The sequence below is a fragment of the Homo sapiens genome, chromosome 4, assembly GCF_000001405.40.
Source record: "Homo sapiens chromosome 4, GRCh38.p14 Primary Assembly".
Lineage (NCBI taxonomy): Eukaryota > Metazoa > Chordata > Mammalia > Primates > Hominidae > Homo > Homo sapiens.
The window spans coordinates 162288868-162299902 of record NC_000004.12 but is presented as its reverse complement, the minus strand read 5'-3'; positions in this window follow the sequence as shown (position 1 = coordinate 162299902).

Genomic DNA, 11035 nt, shown 5'->3' with positions numbered 1-11035 from the left:
AGGGGCACAGGACATGTTCTACATCTTGTGTGGTGGTGGTTTTATAGTAGTAAACAAAAATAATATTCCTAACATTTTTCATCTTAAATGGATGTAGCTTCCATAATAAATATATTATTTCCATGCAAATATGGTTTAGGAAGATGGTAATAACGTAATTTGATGCAACATAGATAAACATTTTTGCAGTTATTTCTAAGGTAGTATTTGAAAGAACTCTTGAGTAGCAATCCAACAACTCATAGTGGAATAAAATTTGTTGTTCTAAAATTGTGAGTCTGGACTTTATTGATTTCATTGGTAATAAAGAAGGTCCATTTGTGTAACAGTATGTGTCCAGGAAACAAATTTAGGAAACAAATCACAGTATAGTCTTCCCGTGGTATTCATGGGGGATTGGTTCTAGGACACCTCATGAATACCAAAATCCATGGATCCTCAGTCTCTTATATAAAATAGTGTAGTATTCACATATAACCTATGCACATTCTCCTCTATATTTTAAATCACTTCTAGATTACTTATACTGCCTAATACAATGTATGTGCTATGTAAATAGTTGTTACACTGTATTGTTTAGGAAATAATGGCAAGAGAAATAAAGTTTGTACATGTTTAGTATATATACAACTAACCACATTTTTTTCTGAATACTTTTGACACATAGTTGAATTTATAGATGCAGAACCCAGAAAGAGAGGTGGTTGATTGTAATTTGGAAAAGGAACATTTAATGTAAAGAATATTTAGCTTGTAACAGGAAATTGGACTATTATTAACTAGTAATGTAATTGGTTACGATGACAAAGAAACTCAATACAGCAGTAGCAGTTATACAGAAAGAGCAGTGGGATCTTATAGAACAAGATTTTATAGAACAACAATCTGATGGCAAGAATTTTCTGACCTAGATTGGCAGATAAAGACAACAGAGTATTATGCCAATTGTGTGATTAAAAAACACAGTTCAATTTTATCTTACATGAGAACTTAAATTGTGTGTGTATATATATATATATATATATATATACAATTAGTAGAAACGGGGTTTCACCATGTTGGCCAGGCTGGTCTCGAACTCCTGACCTCGTGAGCCACCCACCCCAGCCTCCCAAAGCGCTGGGATTACAGGCGTGAACTACCGTGCCCGGACAGGATTTTTTTTTTTAATGATGATTATTGCAGGTAAGGCAGAGAGATAGATGGTAAATGAGAGATAAATAAGGGCAATTGCAAACATATCCAAGATTGGTAGAGGTGCAAATAAGAGGAAGGGGGAAAACGGTCTTTAAGAATACATTTTTGACAGTTCTGAAGGAACTGTGGGAGTCAGCTTGAATTGCTCTGGTATTTTGTTAGTTTGTTTTGTGTGTTTTCTCTGATTTGGAAGTAATTATGATTAAAGTCATAGACATTGAGGAGAGAAGTTAGAAAAATTCCCTAGATACGTAAAATGAGGGCCTTATTAAGTTGAGCTAAGAAAACTTTACTTAAGTTTAACCAGTGTATGTCAAAACTTTCAAGTCATTGTGAGCATCCATTATCTTAAATATATAGAGTTAAATATCATAGACCTCTTTTTAGATACTTTTCTCTGGAAAACATACTTCTCCCCTTTTAAAACACATTATCAATATCATAAGTGATATGGAAAAGATGAATGGTTAAAAATCCATGGATAAGTCATAATTGTGTTTTTAGAGAAAAGCATTTCCACATTTATTTCAGTTCCTGTCATATTAAATTGAATTGTTTTTATTTTCAAATTAATACTTTCATACTCCTTGCTAGAGCTAAATACCTTGAGTCTTAGTCAGAAATTGCTCATGGGTGATTTGTTTTATTTTCTTCACTTATTAGTTTGACAGTCAAAGTTTGGAAATTTTATTGTCTTTCATACTTCTTAAACTAATAGTCATCCCTTAGAAAATAATTTTCTCCCACTTTCTGCATATTGGATGGCATGGGACCACTAGGTGGGTCAGAACAAGTGTAATTGAGGCAAGAAAGAAATATTATTGGGTAAGTCTTGCACATATCATGCTGGATAGGTATGTATTCATCTGTGGGCAGTAATTAAATCTAGAAAAATGATTAATGCATTTACTAAACAACTATTTATAGACAGGCATCCATGTATCAGGTATTTTTCTGGATGCTGGGAATAAACAGAAAATGAAATACACAAAAATTTGGGTCCTTATGATGCCACAAAGGTATTTTACTTGTATTGTTTTCTAAATCCAGGTTCACAAGGTAACAGGAAATCAAGAGATTGGGCATAGAAAATCTAAGGGAGTTTTGGGAAATTTAAACCAATTTTATGGAACAAGGGTTTATGCAGGATGGGGCAAAGAAAAATCCAACCCAAACAAATATTACAAGGTAAGAATTACTACTGGGTTAAAAATGCTGGAGCGGGATAAAAGGGAAATGAGTCCTGTTCAAACAAAGAACATGGAACAAAGAATATGGAATGCTCCATAACCTGTGCCTTGGTCTTACTCTCCCTAGGAGGATGATAATTCAGAGTAAAGTGTGGTTTACCATTAAGCTTCCTAGACAATTGAAATGGCTATTTGACCAAAGACAAAATCAACTTGCCATGCTGAAAAGTAGAATAAGATAAGTTATATACACAGTTCTTTTAAGCCAAATTTAAAAAATCAATTATTCTGGACAGTGTCCATTTAAGAGAATAAACTTTTGATTTAATTTTAATAATAATTTTAGAAACTAGTAGAATTTGTCAAATTTATTTTCTCTGTTAAGTTATAAGTGAAAGAGTACTAGCATTTATTTCTGCCTTATGTCAGAGAAGCCTAAATGTACTAAGAAAGCAGATTCATCCCTAAATGACCACAGTTAAAGAAGCTCTGCCTTGGAGGTTTCAAGGTAAGGCAAGATTCACTTTGCCCTTCACATTGTTTCTTTTGTACAAAAATGACATTTTGGTTGGAATTTGTGTTTGACAGCTCTATAATGTAATTTTCCAGAATGTGTTGAAGTGGAACCAAATGTCACTGGCTTCATTCACTATGTTTTCTGCCTGGTGGAATATACCATTACTATTCTATTTATTTTTACAACTGATCAAAAAATGGATTATTTTGATTTGTGAAGTTTTTTACACACAATTTTCCAGAAGATAAAGATCACATATTAGCCCCTATACATGCCCTAGATTGCACATTAATTGACTTTGACCTTTAAGAAAGTGCCTATGTTAATTCCATTTTGGCATTACTTACACTAAGAGTCAATAGGCTGTATATTGGATTAGAGTATGAGTGGACGGTGGGAGAATTCTGTGTAATGATTTAAAGGGTGGTCATGTAAAAGACATCCAGAAATGCTGAGAATTAAAAAGGCATTTTATAATAGAAAACCAACTTGTGGTTTGAGAGTAGAAGTGAAGCTGAGTCAACTATAAGCTCTGAGTCAAAAACACTAGAGTCTTGAACACATTGCTTCTCAGGAAGAGAAGTGGAGATAAGGGCAAAAGTATTAGAGCTATGTTAGAGTATCATACAGACTTGTTTTTTTCTAGGCAGGAAACTATCCCGGAAAATAAATGATATATAGAATTTAAGGTACTGGAATTAAGAGGCCCAGGCCGGGAGCAGTGGCTCACGCCTGTAATCCCAGAATTTTGAGAGGCCATGGTGGGTGTATCACCTGAGGTCAGGAGTTCAAGACCAGCCTGGGCAACATGGTGAAACCTCATCTCTACTAAAAATACAAAGATTAGCTGAGTGCGATGGCGCAAGCTTGTAATCCCAGCTACTCAGGAGGCTGAGGCAGGAGAATCGCTTAAGCCCGGGAGGCAGAGGTTGTAGTGAGCTGAGATTATGCCACTGCACTCCAGCCTGAGTGACAGAGTGAGACTTCATCTCAAAAAAATAAATAAATAAATAAATAAAGCCCAGACAGACAGACATGGAGACTTATTTGTGGTTGTTAATGTTGTTTTTTACCACTAGCTAAATTGAAATTAAAATTTTAAAGTAAGATTGTGCTTAACATTTTTATCATATTAATCAAAGTAACATTTGTGACTCTAGGGAATCCATGGCTGCTTAGAAAGAGGATATTACTAGACATTGTTGTCATTTTTAAATTTTTTAAAAGGACATTTAGCTGCTTATCAATATTCTATTCATAAAAGGAGGAAAATCCACCTCTTAGCATACAAATTGTAATTTTAATCTATCTACTTATCATACTGAATTTGAGAATTGAATGAAAAAATAAAGAAATTTTCTCAGTATAAAAGAAACTTAAAATCATACTGTTTGTGATTTTAAATTTATAAACTTAATTTCTTATTTGCTTTTGTTTTCCACCAATGCTTTTTGGCATGAAGATATTTTATGTCAATAAGAAATCAAGATGCTGAAATGGTAGGTGGGTTATGCAATAAAATGGAAATCAGAACAGCAACATAAAAGGCCATCATATGATATGACTGCTCATTTAACAGAGTGGGAACACAGATATAATGTGTTAGGAAAAAGTGTATTGTGAATCAGGTATGTGGGAAATATCCTGCGGACCCAGACTATACACATTAATTATAACTTTTTTTCCTCTATTTTGCCGCCAGTCTTCAGGAAGCTTAGACAAATGTAAAAAGCTATTCATAGGAAGCCTGTTACAAATGAAGTAAACATAAACTTCTGGGCTCTGGGTCTTTTTAAAGAGAATAAAAAACAAACATTCACTTTCCTTGAGTCAAAGCTGGCTTTGCTCCCTCCTTAAGACTGTTGTGTTATATACGAACTGATATCCCAGCTTGTCCAAACCTGTGAAAGTTATCTGACCTTCCTGCCTTAGCTGTCTCTCCATGGGGCAGCCTCACTCATTTCCAGCAGCTATACCATTTCTGCTTCTTAAAACTGAGTATCTTTGATTGCCACTGGCAGACCAAATTTTTTCAATTTGATTTTTGACTTGGTTATGCTACATCAAATCTACTAGGGCTGTCTTTTCAGTTATCCTGTTATGATCCTATGACTACAGTCTTTCTCAATTGATTAGTTCTCCTTCTTGCATTCTACAACCTAGAGTAATCTAACTTGGCGATATCTTTTATTAATCAACAGTCTACCTCATATCGTTTCTATGAGCATTAAATGAGAATGCAGTTAGGGGCATAGGATATTACCTGGTACCAAGATTTCTATTATAGTTATCTTGGTACCAGGAAATATGTTAATTAACACTCTTCCTGTAACATAAAGTTTTATGCTAGAACTGTCCATAATAAATCTAATGTGTCATATACGTAACTTTAATTTTTGTTAATAATATTAAAAACATGTACATAAGAAGGTGAAATCCATTTAATGATCTATTTTGCTTAACTAAACACAGTATATTCAAAATATAATTATTTCAACATATCAATATGAAAAATATTAATGAGCTATTTTACTTATTATTGCTAAGTCTTCAAATCCACTGTGTTTTTAACACTTACAGACTATCTCAATTCAGAGCAGCATCATTTCAAGTGTTTAATAGCCACATGTGGTTTGAGACTACCATATTAGATAGCACAGCTGCAAAGGTATATGGATCTGAATTTCCTGCTATGACCAAATACTCATTTTTTGAATCAGATCACTAAAATGCTGTATCTTTTCAAATGATTCCTATCACCCTGAGGTGAAAGTGTAAGAATTATATCATTGCATTCAAAGTTTTATATTGACTAACTCCTGTTAATTTCTTGACTCTGATCATCTGTCACTTTCCTTTTTATCTGTATTTCTCCAGGCACACTGCCTTTCTTCCTTCTTTTCAAATACCTTAAATTTTTACCATCTCATGACCTTAACTTGCTATTTCCTCTGTTTAGAATACTCTTTCTTCAGATTTTTCTTTACATAAGTTGCTATTCACATTATTCACATCTTTGCTAAAATGTCCAGTCATTACAGAAGATTTTCACAAATTACTTCATCTGTAATACCAAACATCTCTCAATCCATATCCAATATTCTGTCCTTTCCCACTACTCCCATTAACATTACACTGCACCATTTTTCTTCTTTGTACTGTAATCATCACTGATGTCACATTTTTTAAAAATTATTTTTCTATTTCAGTAGGTTTTTGGGGAACAAGTGGTGTTTGATTATATGAATAAGTTCTTTAGTGGTGATTTCTGAGATTTTGGTGCACTCATCACCCAAAAAGTGTACACTGTATCCCATGCAGTCTTTTATCCCTCACCACCCCCACCCTTTCCCCCAGTCCCCAAAGTCCAACGTATCATTCTTATACTTTTGCATCCTCGTAGCTTAACTCTCACATATGAGTGAGAACATATAAAGTTTGGCTTTCCATTCCTGAGTTACTTCACTTAGAATAATAGTCTCCAATTCCATCCAGGCTGCTGAGAACGCCATTTGTTCATTCCTTTTAATGGCTGAGTCGTATTCCATGGTGTGTGTGTGTGTACATATACACACACATATACATATATGTGTATATGCATGTACACATATATACACATATACATATATGTGTGTATATGTATGTACACATATACACATATGCATATTTACATACATACACATATACATATATGCATATGCACACATATGTGTATATACATATACGCATATGCACGCATATGTGTATATACATATACGCATATGCACGCATATGTGTATATACATATACGCATATGCACACATGTGTATACGTATACACACATGCGTGTGTACATATATACACACATGCTCATATATGCATATACACACATGTGTGTATATACATATATACACATATATACACATATATATGTATATGTGTATATATGTAATAATATTAAAAACATGTACATAAGTAGGTGAAATCCATTTAATGATCTATTTTTCCTAACTAAACATAGTATATGTGTTTATATATACATGTATATATACACATGTATACACATGTGTATAAATACACTTGTGTGTATACATGTGTATATACATATGTATGTGTATATATGTCTCTATACATATACATATATACACATACATATATGATGTGATATACATGTGTATATATACAGTATATGTATACTATATACATACACTGTATATACTGTATGTATACTGTATGCATACATATATACTGTGTATACATACATATATACTGTATGTATACTGTATGCATACATATATACTGTGTATACATACATATATACTGTATGTATACTGTATTATACTGTATACATACACTATATGTACATATACTGTATGTATACAGTATACATACAGTATATGTATACTGTGCACATACATATACATATGTATACAGTATGTGTATATATACATGTATATATACATGTGTATACACATACATGTATGTGTGTACACAGTATATGTATATATACTGTGTATGTACATATATTGTGTATATATACATGTACAGTATATGTACATATACTGTGTATATACATATATGTATATATGCTGTGTATATACATATATGTATATATACTGTGTATATACATATATGTATATATACTGTGTATATACATATATGTATATATACTGTGTATATACATATATGTCCATATACTGTGTATATACATATATGCACATTACTGTGTATATACATATATGTACATATACTGTGTATATACATACATGGATACTGTGTATATATACTATGTATATATACTGTGTATATACATATATGTCCATATACTGTGTATATACATACATGGATATATACTGTGTATATACATATATGTACATATACTGTGTATATACATACGTGGATATATACTGTGTATATACATATATGGATATATACTGTGTATACACATATATACACAGTATATACACATACTTGTATGATGTGATATATATACACATATATGTGTACATATGATGTGATATATATACACATATATGTGTACATATGATGTGATATATGTGTGTATATACGTGATGTGATTATATATGTGATGTGATATGTATGTGTGTATATATATGCTGTGATATATATGTGTGTATATATACACATATATATGATGTGATATATATAAAATATATATGATATATATATCACATTTTCACACATACATATATATATCACATTTTCTTTATCCACTCATTGATTGATGGACATTTGGACTGATTCCATATTTTTGCAATTCCAAATTGTCCTACTATAAATATGCATTTGCAAGTATCTTTTTCATATAATGACTTCTTTTCCTCTGGGTCGATATCTAGTAGTGGGATTGTTGGATCAAACCGTGGATCTACTTTTAGTTCTTTAAGGAATCTCCACACTGCTTTCCATAGTGGTTGTACTAGTTTACGTTCCCACCAGCAGTGTAGAAGTGTTCCCTGTTCACTGTATTTCCACCAACATCTATTACTTTTTGATTTTTTGATTATGGTCATTCCCGCAGGCATGAAATGGTATCACATTGTGGTTTTGATTTGCATTTCCCTGACAATTAGTGATGTTGGGCATTTTTCCATAGGCTTGTTGGCCATTTCCACATCTACTTTTGACAATCGTCTATTCCTGTCCTTAGACCACTTTTTGATGGGATTGTTTGTTTTATTTCTTGCTGATTTGAGTTTTTTATAGATTCAGGATATCAGTCCTTTTTCAGATATACAGATTGTGAAGATTTTCTCCCACCCTGTGGATTGTCTCTTAACTCCGCTGACTATTTCTTTTGCTATGCAGAAGCTTTTTAGTTTAATTAAGTCTGATCTATTTATCATTGTTTTTGTTGCATTTGCTTTTGGGTTCTTGGTCATGATGTCTTTGCCTAAGCCAATGTCTAGAAGGGTTTTTCCAATGTAATCTTCTATAATCTTTATGGTTTCAGGCCTTAGATTTAAGTCCTTGATCCATCTTGAGTTGATTGTTGTATAAGGTAAGAGATGAGTATCCCATTTCATTCTCCTACATGTGGCTTGCCCATTATCACAGAACCATTTCGTGAATAGGGTATCCTTTCCCCACTTTATGTTTTTGTTTGCTTTGTCAAATATCATCTGGCTGTAAGTATTTGGCTTTAGTTCTGGGTTCTCTATTCTGTTCCATTGGCCTATGTGCCTATTTCTTATACCAGTACCATCCTATTTTGGTGAATATGGCCTTATAGTATAGTTTGAAGTTGGGTAATGTGATGTCTCCAGATTTGTTCTTTTTGCTTAGTCTTGCTTTGGCTATGTGGTTTATTTTTTTGGTTCCATATTAATTTTAGGATTGTTGTTTCTAGTTCTGTGAAGAACAATGGGGATATTTTGATTGGAATTGCATTAAATTTGTATATTACTTTTGGCAGTATGGTCATTTTAACAATATTGAATCTACCCATCCATGAGCATAGGATGTGTTTCCATTTTTTCGTGTTGTCTATGATTTCTTTCAGCAGTGTTTAGTAGTTTTCCTCGTAGAGGCCTTTCATATCCATGGCTAAGTATATTCCTAAGTATTTTATTTCATTTTTTGCAGCTATTTAAAAAGGGGTTGTGCTCTTTATTTGATTCTCAGTTTGGTAGCTGTTGGTGTAAAACAGAGCTACCGATTCGTGTACATTAATTTTGTGTCCTAAAACTGCAGAATTCATTTACCATTTCTAGCAGCTTTTTGTTTGAGTCTTTGGGGTTTTCTTGGTATACAAAATATCATCAGCAAACAGCAACAGTTTGACTTTCTCTTTACCAATGTAGATGCCCTTTATTTATTTCTCTTGTCTAATTGCTCTGGCTAGGACTTCCAGTACTATTAGTATGTTGAATAGAAGTGATAAAAAGTCATTCCTTGTCTTGTTCCCGTCTCAGGGGGAATGCTTTCAACTTTTCCCTATTCAGTATAATGTTGGCTGTGGGTTTGTCGTAGATAGCTTTTATTATCTTAAGGTATGTCCCTTCTATGCCAATTTTGCTGAGAGTTTTAATCATAGAGGAATGCTGGATTTTGCCAAATGCTTTTTCTGTGTCTCTTGAGATGATCATGTGATTTTTGTTTTTAGTTATGTTTATGTGGTGTATCACATTTATTGACTTGTGTATGTTTTTTTGTGTTTTTTTTTGCTTGTTTATTTTTGAGACGGAGTCTAGCTCTGTCACCCAGGCTGGAGTGCTGTGGCGCGATCTTGGCTCACTGCAAGCTCCACCTCCTGGGTTCACGCCATTCTTCTGCCTCAGCCTCTCCAAGTAGCTGGGACTACAGGCGCCCGCCACCACGCCCGGCTAATTTTTTGTATTTTTAGTAGAGATGGGGTTTCACCATGGTCTCAATCTCCTGACCTCGTGATCCGCCTGCCTCGGCCTCCCAAAGTGCTGGGATTACAAGCGTGAGCCCCCACGCCCAGCTGACTTGTATATGTTTAACCATCCCTGCATCCCTGATATGAAACCCACTTGATCATGGTTGATTATCTTTTTGATATGCTATTGGATTTGGTTTACTAGTATTTTGTTGAGGATTTTTGCATCTATGTTCATCAGGGATACTGGTCTGTAGTTTTCTTTTTTTGTTATGTCCTTCCCTGGTTTTCATATGAGAGTGATACTGGCTTCATAGAATGATATAGGAAGAATTCTCTCTTTTTCTGTCTTCTGGAATGGTGTCAATAGGATTGGTACCAATTCTTCTTTGAATGTCAGATAGAATTCAGCAAATCTGCTTGGTTTTGCACTTTTTTTTTGGTATTTTTTAATTACAATTTCAGTCTCACTGCTTGTTACTGGTCTGTTCAGAGTTTCTATATTTTCCTGGTTTAATCTAAGAGGGTTGTGTATTTCAAGAAATTTATCCATCTCCTCTGTGTTTTCTAGTTTATGTCCATAAAGATGTTCATAGAAGCCTTGAATAATCTTTTGTATCATTGTGGTATCAGTTGTAATATCTCCCATTTTTTTCTAACTAAGCTTATTTGGATCTTCTCTCTTTTCTTGGTTAATCTCACTAATGGTCCATCAATTTTATTTGTTTTTTCAAAGTACTAGCTTTTTGTTTTGTTTATCTTTTGTATTTTTTTTGTTTCAATTTCATT